This window comes from Homo sapiens, chromosome 7 (assembly GCF_000001405.40).
Source record: "Homo sapiens chromosome 7, GRCh38.p14 Primary Assembly".
Taxonomy (NCBI): Eukaryota; Metazoa; Chordata; class Mammalia; order Primates; family Hominidae; genus Homo; species Homo sapiens.
In genome coordinates this window covers 143425366-143443223 of record NC_000007.14, presented here as the reverse complement: position 1 = coordinate 143443223, position 17858 = coordinate 143425366, and the positions used below count along the sequence as shown (strand labels likewise).

Below are 17858 nucleotides of genomic sequence, written 5' to 3'. Positions count from 1 at the left end.
GCCTGCTCTTCTGCCTATTCTCTGCCCATGTCAACATCAAAGTGGATAATATATCAGGCCCTGGCATTTAGTGTCCTTACACAGGAGGTTATACTTCTCTAAGCGGACACCTATGACAGGACCATGCACCTGCCAGCTCAGTAGTATCATCCGTGGGGCACACCCGCTACTGAGACAGCGCTCACATCCACGGGGGGGGGGTGATTGTTATGTTGCAGGCATTGTTCTGAGTGCTCTCCTTAGTTCTCACAACAACTCTATGCGGGGAGTAGTATGGCAAGACCCCTTTAACTGAGACAGAGAGAAAACTGAGCAAACCTTTACAGAGAAGGATTAATTCAAGTCTTATTACTCACAGTGACCATCATCATAAAAAAAGAACACTGGAGACAATTATACATAATGAGGCAGGCAACTTTTTTCAAAATTTAAAAATATATATTTGATAACTGGTGGCCTCTAAAATAGCACTTCACAGAGGAACCCCCAGTAGCGATAAGCCAATGGGATATGGCAGAATGAGCCCTGTGCTAGGAGTCGAGACAGCCTTTAGTCCAAACTTTACCCCTTACTGTGAGTTGCTGGATATGTCAGCCCCTCTGCGCCTCATTTTGTCCATCTGTAAAATATGAAAAGTATCCTATGTTCTAATTCACAAAGATGTCTTAGAATCTCGGCTTAGAATGAAAGAAGACATGAAAGATAATCTTACAGATAAAAGAAATAAGACCCCAAATTATATATTACAACTCCCACCTAAAGTCACAGTTACACAGAGGAAAGACCAAGATCCAAACTGATTCCAGGACCAGGAATCTCTGCCATGGTTAGCAATACATGTTACACCTCCATCTTCTTCATCCCTAGCTGAACTCAGAAGCCCAAGTTTTGAGTCTTGTCACAATCACTACGGATCCTCAAGCAGTTAACCTCTCTGAACACCCCCCTTTCTTCACCTATAAAAAATATGGGTCACAAATAAATATGACCATAAATATGGTAAATATATTGGAAATTATAAACCTCTGCATATGGACAAGGAGCAATGATGATGATGACAATTACTTTATTAGAATGGCTATCTTCTATTCCATCCATCCTGTGGCATAATAAGTAGCATAAGGAGAATTCAGGAGAGCATCAGGGATGCAACAGAAGTTCAGGGCACCAAATGTCAGACCACTGATATCAACCAGAGAAGGACAGAGTAAAAAAAAGACCACATTCTTTATAGAAATCAGCTTCAAAGAGTCAAAAAAATCAGCAATCAACACCCAGGTGAGTGTAAGTAGGTTAACGTGTCACAGGGAGATAGGAAAGCAGGAATTGTTCTGGGTCAAATACAGCAATATTGAAGGCTCAGGATCAAGTAACATGACAGTAAGGGGATTTGTAATGAATACACATCTGCTGACACCACAACCTACCAGTTCCATATATAGGACCCCCACAAAAAGGGAATAGAACGCATGTCAGCATCTCTTCCCAGTTCCCAGTCTACTTCCCAGTAGTCCACTTCCAGGTGGAATTGTTTCTTTAACACATACGCCAACCATAGTGGACATAGGTCTTCGGAGTAAAGGAAATAAGATGAACTAAGGTAATTCACTCTGCCTTTCTGTGAAGATGCAAATTTCCAGGAGATAGAGTTCCCAACTGCTCTCTTCCTTGCCCTTGTTCTTCTGGCTGACATTTGGCTGTTTTCTACTGGAACTTGGAGAAATGGGGCAAACTTCGGGCTTATAGCTCTGGAGTATGGCCACCTACAAACCGCCCAATATGGAAAACTTGAATCTTTTTCATCCACCTCCCACACCTTCAATGATAAAGATGTGCATTTAACCTTCAATTCATTTAATAATAATTTATTAAGCATATCCTATATGCCATGATAACCCTTTGAAAGACATTGGGCTACAACAGTGAATTAGATATCTGCCTTCAAAGCACTTTTATGGGCTAAACATAAACCACAAACATTTACTGGACATATACTATGTGCAGAGTAAGTTAATCCAAAAGAGGGAATAATCATTTGAATTTAAATATGCAATGTGTTTCGTGGTGATTCTTTTGTTGTTTGTTGTTTGTTTGTTTGTTTGTTGCATTTGGCTTTCTCATGTCTAGATTTATCTTCTTAGGTAAAAGTCAAGTCTGAGAGTTTTTAACTTTTCATAACCAGTCTTTATAAATGTAATCATGAGGGTAGTAGGATAGGGATCCTGAGTTAGCTCTCTATATGGAAAACCTTCAACTCAGTACTCTCAACAAGTGACTCCCAGTCTGTGGCTCTATGTGTTAGGGATCTTGCTATTCCCATCCCAAGATCTCTCAGAAGAGTTGAGAAGTAACAGCCCCATAATTGTGAGACAATAAAGATGCTGTCTTGCATGTTGGAAGGAAAAAGATGAGGCATCAGTAAAGGAGGGGGATACATGATTATATCCAGAACAATTAGATACATTTAGCTACAACAGAGGACTTACATAGAGAAGATGGCATATCAAGCCAAAAAGGTAGGCTGGAGAGAGATCACAGAAAATTTTGGAAGCCTTGATGAGATATTAGATTGTATCTTTAGTCAAGACAGAGCCACCAAGTGTTTTGGGGCTTTTATGAGCTAGAGTTTTAAAAAGGAGATTGAGAACATCAATTAGGAACTCCTGAGACAAGTCCACTTAACCTGGTATCACTCGAAGGGCTGTGAAGATGGAGCAGAACATGAGAGTTGAATCACCACCCACTCCCCACCCAAACACCTTCAGTAAACTTCTGGAGCTCCGCCCAAGGGAAGAGTCTTCCAGGTGCTCACAGTTGAGTAGAAGGGATAGAGGAGAAAGATCTCCCCGCTCCCGCCATGCTCCTGTCTTTCCTGCCTCCAACCAACTTGTGGCTTGAGCCGCAAGGCTCAGTCTCATAATTTATTATTAATCTACCTGTAGGAAGTCATTAGCTCACTCATGTTGCTACAAAGAAAAAGAAAAATTCTTCGTGATTGATGATGAGGATAATACATGTTCTCTAGGTGGGATAATTCACAGACTTTAGGTGTCTATTTAATTTAAAGCCTGGCCACAGTGCCAGCTCCCCACAGGTTCCTCCATCCTGCCTCACCCTTGCTCTACCCCCTGGGGAAATCCCCCTGGGTTCCTCAACAGCAACTTGAGAATCTCCTCTTTTAAACCTTTAATCATCCTCTTGCAAGAGAAAATTCCTGATCTTGTTATCTTGCCTCTAGTCATCCCTCTCTCTTCTCTTGCCATATCCTGGCCTCCAGCTAGCATTGTAGCATAATGTTTTGGGGCCTCAGCTTCCTGGTATTATTGGACATTTGACCTTACACGCATTTATCTATTTGAAAATTCTTTGTAACCTCTGTTCTGTCCTGTTATTTACTGCTTCTATTTTGACTAGTTCAAACATATGAATCTCTCTTAACTGTGTGCAGTGTTTTTCCCAATCTCTTTTAGTCTATCGGTCTCCATACTTTATCATGAATTCCATCAGTAAAATATATATATATGAACATGCAACCCACCAGCTATGAATTGAATATTTGTGTCCTCCCAAAATTCATACACTGAAACCTTAACCCTCAATGTGATAACATTTAGAGATAACGCTTTCAGGAGGTAATTAGTTCATAAGGGTGAAGCCCTCATGAATGGGATTAGTGTCCTTATAAGAAGAAACACAAGAAAGATAAATCTCTCTGCCACGTGAGGACACAAGAAGAAGGTATCTGTCTGCAACTCAGAAGAGGGCCCTCACCAGAACCCAACCATGCTGGCACCCTCAGTTTCAGGCTCCAGAACTGTGAGAAATAAATATCTGCTGCATAAACACCCAGTTTATGGTATTCTGTCACAGCAGCCTAGGCTGACTAAGATATTACCATATGCATATTTATTTTTAATTATATGCATGTACATTTTACTAATACGTCATATGCATCATAAAATACCCAAAAAAAGGGGATTAAAAGAAAAAGATAAAAATAAATGGAAACTGAAATTGCTACAGGCCTAGTGGATCATCTTGCACAAGCTCTGGGATGCAGACATCCCAATCTGGAGATTCCCATCCTCAGCAGCAGCATCTGGGATCCACCTCCTGGGTGAGCAGACAGGAAGAGTAGGATCATCAAAATTAAGAAGTGTAGGACATTTCCTTTGTTTTCCATCTATCTTCTGTTGGCCAAAACCTAAAAGCATTTTCACATCAGACAATTCCTATTCATTCGACATGAGCACATGAAGTTATGGATGTGACATACAGTGGCACCAAACTCCTATGTGTCTTTAGCCTTCTGTGAGATCAGGCTGGAAAAACTCCCTGAGTGGAATCAGTCTTAAGCAGAGCACAAAGGAAGAAAATGACGGAGATTGGCAGAGAAAGGAAAGAAGGAAGTATTGGGTGGGCCCAAGAAGCACATGAAGAAGAAAAGGACTTGGGGGAAGAGGGGAAGAAGATTTATTGGGCTGAAGTGGAGAGACGAGGCCAAGAGAACAGGTGTGGAGCAGAAGGGCAGGCGATGTCAAGTGGATGGTGCTGGACAACCTATGTCACTATAAAAAAATAAGCTTCAAGGTGGGGTGCGGTGGCTCACACCTGTAATCCCACAGGTGGGTGGATCACTTGAGGTGAGGAGATTTGAGACCAGCCTGGCCAACACGGTGAAACCCCATCTCTACTAAAAATACAAAAATTAGCCAGGCATGGTGGCACACGCCTGTAGTCCCAGCTACTCGGGAGGCTGAGGCAGGAGAATTGCTTGAACACGGGAGGTGGAGGCTGCAGTGAACCGAGATCACGCCACTGCACTCCAGCCTGGGCAACAGAGCAAGACTCCATCTTAAAATTAAAATAAAATATATAAAAAATAAGCTTCAGTTTGCCCACAGAGACAACTGACGACAGCTACAGTTCTCTATAAAGGGCATACAGACCAAAATGATGCTTGGCAAATATTAGGGTTGCTTACCTATAGATTCTTGGGGCCCCATGAGGAAATGAGGCCACCAGCAAAAGTCAAGGTGATTGACGGCTAGGACTAGAGACTCACAGCAGTGGAGGGGATGGTAAGAACACAGACAGCAAGATGGAAAAGGGATTCTGAGGCATGGACAGAGGGGGAGAGAAAGAAGAAACTGGAAAGAGAAAGACAGTACCCAAACCTTATACATTCCTACCAGGATCATTCATCCCAGGACTGGTTACTGACACAGATAACTCAGGAGCAGAACCACCCTATGGCCAGCACCTTCCAAAGCCCTGTGAGCCAGCAGCACGTGGGCACTGGAGCTGAGGCCATGTCTTCAGGCCCTTTTTCAGTTTGGGGCTCCTCAGCACCAGGACGGTAGAGTGCAGACAGATGTTGGCATAGATTAGCACTTACCAGGCCCAGTGCCAGTGATTCTGAAAGTTTATGATTTTCAAAGCAGAAGCAAACAAGGACAGGAAGTACAATGTACAGAAGATGAGGGAAAAGGTGAGTGACTTTAAAGCCATAGTGTAAGCCTGGGTGCTGGGATCACAGGGGCCGGGCCTGAGGTCCCTCATCTACCCCAACTGCCAGCACAGTGAGACTATGAGCAAGACAGTGGACACTAGGAACAGGAGGAACAGAATCGACCACACAAACCCTTCATAAAGGAAAAAGTAGAGCTGAAATGAAGCCTGCACTCTATAAACTAGAGTTTCGTTTCTGTAGGAACTCAGGGAGACCTTCCTCTGACCAAACAGGATGTTCCCAGTGGCTGATGAGATGACTTCCAGGCCACAGATGATCAGGGAGCCCTTGATCAGCTTGGGCACTAACCGAGAGTTCCTCCACTTCAGCCAGGCGAAGGTGGGGTGGGAGAAAGATGAGATCTTCACACAGTAGAAAGCAGCAAGCAAGGCAGTAAACCACAAAGTGAGGGCATTGAAAAGGTCCCAGAAGATGTTCATATAGGGAACTGCACGCGAAAAATCTAAGGAGGCCAGGAGGTTGTTCACCATGGCTACCCCATGCAGGCAGAAACGGGAGGCAGCGAGACAGGCCACAATCATGTCACTTGTGGACAGCATCCGGCACCTTACCCACTCCCTGCCCAGCATTGTGACCAAGAATCCATTCTGCAGCATTGCAGCCAATGACTCCAGGCAAAAGATGGCTATGAAGATCAACGTGGGCAAGGAGGGCATCTTCTCCAGGGAGGTTCTGCTAAGTCTCAGCTCCTACTGCAGAGGGCTGGGACACATCTTCAGGGAAAAACAGCCTCTCTGGCTGAGTCAAGCCACCTTGTTGACACCAGAGACTCAGAAGCCCTTGTCCCTGGATTCATAGAAAATCCCAGCCACCAGCAAACACCCCCAGTCCCCAGAATTTGAAAAGATAATTTCTGCAATCTCCTTTGGCATGCAAATCACTCCCAGCTCAATGACACCATCTCTATTTGCATAACCTGTATTTGCCTGTCCTTTCTCAGAGCCAGATGCAGAGAAACATTAACAGAATAGAGGCTGCTGGGGTGACTGAAAATACCCACATTTTGTACATGATGTCTTAACTGTACTATTTCTTTCCTAACTCTTCTTTAAAAGACATTGTTACTCTTATTGCCCTCCCCAAACCAAAAACCTTCCCTTCACGTCCTGCCTTAATATTTTATTCAGTAGCCTCTATACACTGCCTTAGCTCACTTCCCGAATGGGTGGAACAGAAAAATCATTCGCATGCACAAGGCTTCACATTACCAAGAAAAGGCCCCCTAACCACTGGCCTCTCATGCTGCCTAAAATTTCACTGTCAAGCTCCATATTGGAGTTCATGGAATCTCCAGTTAAAATGTGGATTTCTCTGATATGTTACCATCATCTGTTAACTGTTATCCCCTTGGCTCCAGAGTGCTTGATCAACCAAAAGTAATCAGTTCCTAAGAAGCCTCTGAGGAAATGAGAGAGAGTAGATAAATCATAATGAGAAGACGAGAAAGACAGAGAAGGGAAACTGACCCAGAGGGGACATCACCATAGGAGCTGGGGGAAGCAAGAGTTGGTGGAATGACAAGAGGAGCTCAGGGCAAAGCTGGGCCACAGGGAAGTTTTGCTTTATGTGGAGTGAGCCCTGTCCTATAACAATACTGAATATATAATAGTAAAAACCACCCTGCTGAAACACCTTGTCTTTTTTTTTTTTTTTTTTTTTGACAGTCTCACTCTGTCGCCAGGCTGGAGTGCGGTGATGTGATCTCGGCTCACTGCAACCTCTGCCTCCCGGGTTCAAGCAACTCTCCTGCCTCAGCCTCCCAAGTAGCTGGGACTACAGGCATGTGCCACCATGCCCCGCTAATTTTTGGATTTTTAGTAGAGAAGGGGTTTCATCATGTTGGCCAGGATGATCTTGATCTCTTGACCTTGTGATCTGCCCGCCTTGGCCTCCCAAAGTGCTTGGATTACAGGTGTGAGCCACTGCATAGGGCCCCACCTTGTCATTTTTAAAGTGATTTCACACATCTTACATTTGGCCTTTACCGCCAACCACACAAAATGACACTGGTTCAGATCAGCCAACCCAGGCTCAGGGAGCCATGAGGACAGGTTCAACTGAGGAAAGAATGCCTATGAATGTGGAAAAAGTAAAAACAAAAGGGTTAAGAGGGAAGAGAGAGAAGGAGGGTAGAAGAAAGCAGAGGTGTGGATAGAAAAACAGGGAAGGGAATCCCCTGGCAAATGTCTCAGATCTTGGAGTCAGGGCTCTCCACCAAGATGAGTCACAGAAAATAGCCTTGCCTACTTCCCATGGTCTCACTCAAGATTCTACAGGTGAGAGAGGCCTGTGTGTGAAAGATTAAAGAGAAATAAAAACAAGGACAAACACTTGTGGTGGCGACTTCAAGAAAAAGAGGTTCAGCTCTCGAATATAGCAATTGCTTGAAGAGCTGCTTGTTTGTTTGTTTGTTTGTTTGTTTTGAGACGGAGTCTCGCTCTGTCGCCCAGGCTGGAGTGCAGTGGTTTGATCTTGGCTCACTGCAAGCTCCACCTCCCGGGTTCACGCCATTCTCCTGCCTCAGCCTCCGGAGTAGCTGGGACTACAGGCGCCCGCCACCACGCCCGGCTAATTGAAGAGCTGCTAGTTTTTATTGAACTCTCAAAAGATTGTTAGAGAGCGGATAATTCAACCTGATCAACTGTTTTGTAACACAGCTTCAGCGTCTTTCTTTAATTCTTTGCATGTCTTCCTCTGGCTTCTTGAAGACAACAGCAATGAGTGGCTTCTGCATGCTCCACAGCATTTTGGCTCGTCTCAAAATCCTTTGGCCGGAGCCCAGATTCATGATGTCATCAAGAAGCGAGCTGAGGCCATGGTACACACGCCCTGTTGCGGTCACGTGTAACCAAGTAGACATCTAATGTTTGCGGGCAAACTTCATGTTCTCTGCAGAGGTGCCAAAGCGTGCACTTTGCCAGAACAAGTCTTCCCCAGGACTTTTCCTTTCTACAGTTGATAGCTCTAGAAAGTAAACATTTTCTCCTGTTTCAATACTCTTCTATAAGAAGGCTGAAAGAGTACCTTTCCCGCAGGCACCTGTTTATCCATCTCTCAGTGCTTCACTAGATATATCTTATGGGGGTCCCATGTCCCATTCATAGTCTGCCACCAAAAGATACCATAAGCAAGATGATGTTTTAGGTTTTTTCTGTTTTTCAAGAGTCCTTCGAATGTGAAATAGCAATCAAAATACAAGGTGTTTCTCACAAAAGTTTGGGTCACATTTCTCTTTTTTAAAGGTGTCTCATTCCTGCAGCTGAAGCTAACGAATTATTTTCTGCAGCATGACTGGAGATAGTTTTTTAGGATGAAGTCTGAGTCTTCTGTGAAATGGTAGTAATGGTAAACAGGTAACAGCAGAAGACTGGATTAAAATGGAAGATTCTGCAAAGAGCTACTGGCACTTCCCTCACGTTAGTCCTCTACACCAGTAAAGTGCTTTTTGGTTTCTGTTGATTCGTTTGTTTTTTGTTTTTATTTTCTTTTTCTTATCACATTCAAGAATACATTCTTGAATTCTTAGAGAATGAATTCTTGGTTCATCTTAGAGACATACAAAAATACATTTCATTTGACAGGTTTCTCAATCTTGGTGCCCATTCCCAACTGAACCTTTGAGTGACGTGCATTGCATAAATACTTCCACGTATTTCCATGGCTTTATCGGGTAACTGATGGCCCACTCCAGGGAAAGGTGGAGGAAAAAGGAAATAACAATGTTTTTAATGGCTAGACTGCACATAAATGTTAAGCTAAACTATGCACAAATTTAATAATGATTTCCCTGCAAGATAAGCCCTAAATATTTTTTCTCACCCTGAAGACTTCCTCTGACTCTTATATTTAAGTAAGTAATTTAGAATAAACATTGGCTGTAATAGCAATCCGGCATAATAGAGAATTTTAGCTTTCTGAAAGTAAATTTGGGAATTTCTAACATCTTCCATTATCAAAATGTGAATGTACAGTTGAATATCGTTTAATATTCAGGTAAATCTACAGACTTTCCTCTCAAATAAAAAATAGCATTTGATAGTTATTTTTGTAATTATAAAGTTAGCCTGCAAGGAAGTTGAGTCCAATTCTATTTCAACTAAAAGATCTTTAGAATGAATCTTTCTCTTTGCCTTGCTCCATTCGAGCATTTAGAAGCAATAAAATTAATCTCTAAAGGAATAAATCAAACGTTCTTCCCATAATGCCATGAACTTCACTCAATGTCTAACATCTACTGGAGGGATAAGTTATGTTCGATAATTTCTAAATCAGTGGTTTACAAATTATGCTTTCCAGGGAGTTCTCATGGTAGGGAAAGGGTAAGAGGAGAACTGAGAAAGTAGAACCATAAACCCTCATTTCCTTTTCAAACACAGCAGTCCTGCTTATATGTATTTTATATACTGAGCTTCTACATACTATTTCAAAGAAAGAACTCCATTGCAAGAAACAAATTTTAAACCGCTACCATAGATAGATCCAAAGTCAACAAGAGGGGTAAGGACAGATTGCATCAACCCACCTTCTTTCCTTTGCTCCCCAAAACTCTTCTAAATTAACTGTGAAAGATTTTTGAGGCCAAGTGCAGTGGCTCACCCCTGTAATCCCAACACTTTGGGAGGGCAAGGCGGGCAGATCACAAGGTCAGGTGTTCAAGACCAGCCTGGCCAACATAGTGAAATCCCGTCTCTACTAAAAATACAAAAAAAAATCAGCTGGGCATGATGGCATGTGCCTGTAATCCTAGCTACTCGGGAGGCTGAGGCAGGAGAATTGCTTGAACCGGAACCCGGGAGGTGGAGGTTGCAGTGAGCCGAGATCACGCCACTGCATTCCAGCCTGGCCTACAGAGAGACTCCATCTCAAAAAAAAAAAAAAAAAAAAAAAAAAAAAAAAAAATTGAAATTAAGGCATAAATCCAAATAAAATAGATAGAAGAGTGATCAAAGATACAACAGCCCTAAGAAAACAGAATTCTATCCAAGCAGAAGGAAAAGTCAAGAATGAACCGACTTTTACCCAAGATTTGCCATACCAGGTTCCTCTAGAGAAAAACTAGTTAAAAGTCAGTTTAAGATTCAGATTCCCAAATCACTTTGTATACCTGGGCAACCACCACTCTCTCACCCTAGTATTGTCTGGAAAGGATAAAATGGGATCACTGAGCTGGATGTATCTATAGCACAGTTGAGACAAGGGTACTATACTGAGACAGGGACATTAGGTGAGCAAATGCTCTCCTCTCACATGGTTTTTAGAACTCCGGAACCCAGGCTTTTACCCTACAGGCAGATGAGTATCGTCTTTTCCAAGAACTCAAACATTCTAAAAGGAAGACATAAAGACAATATCAGATATTCCTCAAATAATTAGTCCAGCCAATCACTTTACAGTGAAGCCCATAATTAACAAGTCCCATTCATGAGTTCAGAGTTTCCAATCAGCCTTTCCATCTCTTTTGCACAGGAGCAGACAACGAGGAGCTTGGGACATCTGAGAATGGCACCTAGCATGGAAAATAAGACCAAAACAAAACAGGTATTTGGAGGAAGAAAACAATGCAAGGAGAAGAAAGCTTTGCCAAAATGATATCAGTATTCTCAGAGTTATGAGAATATAATAATAACATACAAAACAACAGGTTACTGTTTAAAAGAAATACTCAAAATTTTTTAAAAGAAAGTTCTTGGAATTAAAATGACAATATCTGAGATTAAATGTCAATAGAAGAGCTGAAAGCTAAAATTTATTAAATATCTCAGAAAAGAGAGCAAATAAACCCATAGGTTAAAAACAAAACAGAATGCCAATCTGGGATGTCTAATAACCAAGAAATAGGAGTTCTAAACAGAGAGATGTCATAAATGGTGGGAAAAAAATCAACAAAATAGATGCAAAGTTCCCAAAGCTAAAGGACGCGACTCTTCATATTAGAAAGACTCACCAAGTATCTGTCTCATTTCATACACTTTTAGAAAACTGAGCACAAAGAGAAGTTCCTACAAGCTTTTAGAGAGGAAAAGGAGAGGAAAAATACTAAATTCAAAATATAATATTAGGAATTTTATTTTAGACTTTTCCATAGTAATTTTGGAAGCTAGAAGGCAACAGAGCAATGTCTTCAATATACAGAAGGAAAATTATCTCTACCTTGGAATTCTCTATCTGGATACTCAAGTACAAGGACAAAATAAAGGCTTTTCAGGCAAGCAAAGTCTCCAAATAAAGTTAATTTTTTATGTTCTCTTTTTCTGGAGGATACTGGAAAATGTGTCCCTCCAAAGCGGGAGAGTAGGCATGATAAAGGAAGACATGAGTCCAGGCAACATGAGGTGAAAGGTGAGAGACAGGCGGAGGAGGCCACCAGGAGGACTGTAAAGGCAGACCCAGGATGGAGGGAGGTACATCAGGCCTGAGCATAAGTCCAGACTGGAGCAGGATATGAAGCCCCAGGAGAAATTTTCTCAGGCAAATAAAATTTGAGGATACTTGATGATGGAATTGAGAACAAAAAGCAAACAAAACAAGGTAATTGTTAAATCAATGGAAACAAAAATGTGTACAGGAAAGAAAAATTAATTGCAGTTTAATACATGGTTTCACCATGAATAGCATTTGCATTGGCATAATATTTTAAACACTAAATATTGATTTTACCATTACAATAAAACTATATTGAAAAGTGGGAGACAGAAGGTGTTTGCCAGGGGAATGAGGGTGAGGAAGAACTAAAGGTTCATATTCCATAGCGGAAAGCACACACACACACACACACATGCACATACACGTGCACATGCACACACACATACACACACACACACACACACACACACACACACCAGGTAAAAGAGTTGAAAGTAGTTGCCTTGGGAAACAGGAATTGGAAGAGGATGGAAACGAAAGCCTCTATTTTTAAAAAAACAAACAAAGAAATGTCCCTTTAAGCAGAAATACCTGGCTCTTTGGTCTAGATGCATATATCACTTTGACAAAATCTTAAGAAAAAATGAGAAAAGTCAAGAAGGAGAGGGGTACAAGTAAAAACAGTCAAATTGGCCCTCTTTGGTTTTCGTAAATCATGGTGCCTCCTAGAAGCAAAGATTCATTTTCCTCTCACAGTTAGGTACTTGACTGCTGTCCTCCGTAAACAGGAATTAAAGTGATCTAATATTACTCATAATTTTATTAAAATCTTCCAAGTATGTGTTCTTCATAATTACTTAGAGGAAGAAAGGGCAGAAGACAATATGAGTCATGTTTCTAAAATGGCTTAATCATCTTGCAAAAAAAATCCTAATCCAAGATTTCCATTTCTCAAATAATAATTTTTCTCCTGATTTTTTTTCTGTCCACCCCGTTCCATCTTATTTCCCCCTCCCATCCTCAGACAGCCCCCACCTGCCACTCAGCAGCCCAGTCCTTCCTTACTTAAGGCACCGGGGGTGAGGGGAGTATTGGTGGTGTTAGATTGTGAAACACTTCTTAGGACAAGGCCAGAATGCGGCAACCGACGTACTCACTCTTAGTGGTAGGACAGAACTGGGCATGGGAGGGTAAAATAAAGGGGTAAATGAAGAGGCATCTGCTATCCTACCGAAATAATGGGAAAACTCACCCGTTTCCTCTTAAACTCAATGGAGAAGGAGTTTTCAAAAGCATTCCCAATCTTTCAGCTCCTGACAACGCCCACAGAAATCCCTATCATTTTACTTGCCTGCACATGCAGAAATGAAGAATGTAGAAGAACTTCAGTATGGCTAAAGTGGTGGCATTTCCAGCTGGGTAAAACTAGGAAGGGATTTCAGAGTGGTTGCAGGAGGACTAGGGAGTGAATGTGGAACCAATAGGAAATGAGCACCAGGCTCCCAGGTAAGTTGGTTGATAGATTTGTTCATTTTTTTCCTCCATCAGATAATGGGAACAAAAGTAAGAAAAAAATGTATTTTAAAAAATCACAAGGCCAAGCACGGTGACTCAAGCCTGTAATCCCAGAAGTTTGGGAGGTGAGGCGGGTGGATCACCTGAGGTCAGGAGTTCGAGACCACCCTGGCCAACATGGTGAAACCCCGTCTCTACTAAAAATACAAAAAAAATTAGCCGGGTGTGGTGGCAGGCGCCTGTAATCCCAGCTACTTGGGAGGCTAAGGCAGGAGAATTGCTGGAACTCAGGAGGTGGAGGTTGCAGTGAGCAGAGATTGCACCATTGCACTCCAGCCTGAACAACAGAGCAAGGCTCTGTCTCCAAAAAAAAGGAAAAGAAAAGAAAAGAAAGAGGGAGGGAGGGAGGGAGGGAGGGAGGGAAGGAAGGAAGGAAGGAAGGAAGGAAGGAAGGAAGGAAGGAAGGAAGGAAGGAAGGAAAAAAAAAAAAAAAAAAAAAACCACAAGATATTAAGTAGTTCCAGAAGAGAGATACAACCTCAAATTAAACCAACATTAATTAAAAATCTAATATGAAGCTGACATTGTGCTAAACACATTCACATCCATCATTTTTTCCTGTAATCCTGTTTAAGGATGTCGTAAGCACTCCAGGTTTTGCTCTTTTTTATGAGATGCACTGTCTATGCCTCTGTTTTTCTCAGAAAAATGTAGTGAAGCTGCTGCCATTCTACATTTGCCCCGGATGGAACTCCGTGATACCACCTCGCTTCACGATATTTCACATTGCCTGATGGAACCCAAAGAAACCAGCTTTATTTCTGTGCCATTTCTCAGTGATTAAACTTCAAACTTCAAAACCAAGATTGCTGTTTTGAATAACTAACAAGTGTTTTCTCACCTTCCCTGTTTCTCCTTTTTCCCATAATATTTCATATTTATATCACCAGGTGACAATGAGTAAATACGCCCATGCAGGCAAATATTAAAAAGAATCAGAGGCCGGGCGCGGTGGCTCACGCCTGTAATCCCAGCACTTTGGGAGGCCGAGGCGGGCGGATCACGATGTCAGGAGATTGAAACCATCCTGGCTACCACGGTGAAACCTTGTCTCTACTGAAAATACAAAAAATTAGCCGGGTGCGGTGGCGGGCGCCTGTAGTCCCAGCTACTTGGGAGGCTGAGGCAGGAGAATGGCGCAAACCCAGGAGGCAGAGTTTGCAGTGAGCTGAGATGGCGCCACTGCACTCCACCCTGGGCGACAGAGTGAGATTCCGTCTCAAAAAAAATAAAAATAAAAAATAAAATAAAATAAATAAGTAAAAAGAATCAGAAAATAGGGTGACATTCCAAGGAAAGTTATAAAAATAAAATATTTATCATGACATTCTACCATTTTAAATTAATTTAGCATTGGTCTGTTACAAAGTGCATATAATTTAGATTCAGAAGAATTGGGCTTCAGTTATACTTTTGTCACTTTCTCAATATGTAACCTAGGATAAATCGCTCCCTCTTTTTCAAATTTGATGTGTACAAATGTAATATGAAGTACTTGGCAACGTCAGGAACATTTGATAAGGCAAGGTATATAAAGATATGTGTGTAGCCAGGCACGGTGGCTCATGTCTGCAATCCCAGCCCTTTGGGAGGCCGAGGCGGGTGGATCACCTGAGGTCAGGAGTTCAAGACCTGGCCAACGTGGTGAAACCCTATCTCTACTAAAAATACAAAAAGTAGCCAGGAACCGGGCGCGGTGGCTCATGCCTGTAATCCCAGCACTTTGGGAGGCTGAGGCGGGCGGATCACGAGGTCAGGAGATCGAGACCACGGTGAAACCCCGTCTCTAATAAAAATACAAAAAATTAGCCGGGCGCGGTGGCGGGCGCTTGTAGTCCCAGCTACTCGGGAGGCTGAGGTAGGAGAATGGCGTGAACCCGGCAGGCGGAGCTTGCAGTGAGCCAAGGTCGCGCCACTGCACTCCAGCCTGGGCGAGAGAGCGAGACTTCGTCTCAAAAAAAAAAGAAAAAGGTAGCCAGGCGTGGTGGCATGTGCTTGTAATCCCAGCTACTCGGGAGGCTGAGGCTGGAGAATCACTTGAACCCAGGAGGCGAAGGTTCCAGCGAGCCGAGATTGCGCCACTGCACTCCAGCCTGGATAACAGAGTGAGAATCCGCCTCAAAAAATAAATAAATAAATAAATAAATAAATAAATAAATAAATAAATAAATAATAAAAATAATAAAAAAAAAAAAGAGGGCCCGGGCGCGGTGGCTCACGCCTGTAATCCCAGCACTTTGGGAGGCCAAGGCTGGGGGATAACTTGAAGTCAGGAGGAGTTCGAGGCCAGCCTGGCCAACGTGGCAAAACGCTGACCTTACTAAAAATAAAAAAATAAAAATAAAAAATTAGCCAGGCATGGCGGTGTATGCCTCGAGTCCCAACTACTCGGGAGACTGAGAAGAATCGCTTGAACCCTTTAAGAAGAGGTTGCATGAGCTGAGATCGCGCCACTGCACTCCAGCCTAAGTGACAGAGCAAGATTCCATCTCAAATAAAAATAAAAATAATAAATAAAGAAGGAGGTATTTTTATTTCTTACTAACAAACATATCTCAAATCTCATAACAGCATCGTCTTAATATTTTGAATCCTGCAATGGGCATCAAAGACCTTAAACTAGATATCTTCAAAGTTCCTGCCAGCCTAAGATTCCAGGATTCTGACTTTCTCTCTCTTTCTCAGTACTTACCTCTTTCCTTTTCATCAGTCTCTCTGGGACGAAGTCCAACTTTACCATCTCTTCAAGAAATGCCTTCAAGCTACTGACAATTTTAAATTAAGATACCTTGCTAATCAATGAATCTAATAATAATAGCTTCTGCTTATTTTGTTCTTATTCTGAATCTGATCTTTGTCTAAGTGGTGGCATCCCCACCAAAGGGCTGTCTTACCAGAGATTAAACCTCACAATGTGTTTAGTTTACAAACAAGTCAGACTAGCTGAGGAGGGCCTTCTTGGAAGAGTAGGGTGAGCTCTTTGAAATCATGAGTGAAACACTGTTCTGAGAAGGCCCAGTAAGGGTTACCTCCCCTAAGGAAGGCTGGATTCCCATAGATAAAAGAAAGGTCATAGCTCTGGGTTTTCTGAGTGAACTGGAATTTGCTCCAACCCAGGTCTGGAGGTCACATAGAGAAGAGAAACAGAAAATGAAACAGCCATCCTCTGGAGAAGTCACACTTCATGCCCCCACCTAGTGAGAGCACCTAAGTTGAAACAATATTCTTCCCTGAGGAATTGTTGCAACATGCGCACAAAAAGGCTTAGAGAAAAGTGCTCCTTGTGAAAACATCTAGAGGGGGGAGAAAGCATAAGCATTATCATTAAATCATTGGTTCTTAATGTGAATAGTGCCCCCCTCTAAAAGGTACTTAGGAAATTTATGTGAGTGTTTTTGGTGGTCACCGTCTTCGGGATTACTATTGACATTTATTGGTTTCAGCCAGGATGGACCCCAAAAAATGAAGAATTTTCCCCCATCCAGCAAGGACTTTGGGTGTCCTGCCAGGCATTCATGTGGGCGAAAAACATCTGAGCCAAGAATTTAACTACACTATATATAAAGTAATTTTTGCACACTTTTAATATACAGTGACTTTTCTAAAAATGAAACCATCAAATAAATTGAAAGACTCTGGAATTTTGTTTAATTTGAATCTTTACCATGAGTTATTTATCATCTCAGAAAAATCATGAAGTTGATGGCAACATCACACACATTATTTAAATCAGTAACAAAACACACCTAAATCTGTCTGGATTTGGATCTGTCACATTCCCTTGTGTCTCCATATAGGGGCAAGCACCTGTCTATGTCATTATGTTATCTACTACAGTGTACCACATACCTATCAAATGTGAATGATTTATATATCAAAATGCAAATTATTTTTATTATAAATTGCTTTCCTTTATATTCTTATATTCAATTAGGACATCATATTGATTTTTAATCATTTTAGGTAAATTAATATAGTTTATGAATTTCAGTTCACCATATTATGGGGGTCATTCCCCCAATATTTTTGTAAAAGGAGGCATTGGTCCAGACACAGTATCTTTTTTTTTTTTTGAGATGGAGTCTTGCTTTGTCACCCAGGCTAGAGTGCAGTGGCACCGTCTCGGCTCACTGCAACCTCTGCCTCCCAGGTTCAAGCAATTCTCAAGCCTCCACCTCCTGAGTAGCTGGGACTACAGGTGCCCACCACCATGCCCGGCTATTTTTTGTATTTTTAGTAGAGATCGGGTTTCGCCATGTTGGCCAGGCTGGTCTCGAACTCCTGACCTCAAACCATCCACCCACCTCCGCCTCCCAAAGTGCTAGGATTACAGGTGTGAGCCACCACACCCAGCCCAGACACATTATGTTTAATTACATAAAATATG

The 17858-nt window shown here is 42.2% G+C and overlaps 1 long non-coding RNA gene and 1 pseudogene across 1 annotated transcript in view, besides 1 other annotated feature; both read right to left on the bottom strand.

The window, feature by feature from the left end:
- The window catches only part of EPHA1-AS1 (EPHA1 antisense RNA 1), a 115637-nt gene that overhangs the window by 80226 nt on the left and 17553 nt on the right, over positions 1–17858 (bottom strand). The gene's annotated exons all lie outside the window — the stretch shown is intronic.
- TAS2R62P (taste 2 receptor member 62, pseudogene) lies at positions 5251–6189 on the bottom strand (annotated as a pseudogene).
- Positions 16354–16648: an enhancer, noted in NCBI's record as "tiled region #12322; K562 Activating DNase matched - State 5:Enh". NCBI's record gives its function as "activates a minimal TATA promoter and a strong SV40 promoter by Sharpr-MPRA in K562 cells {active_cell/tissue: K562}" and the evidence as "EXISTENCE:reporter gene assay evidence [ECO:0000049][PMID:27701403]".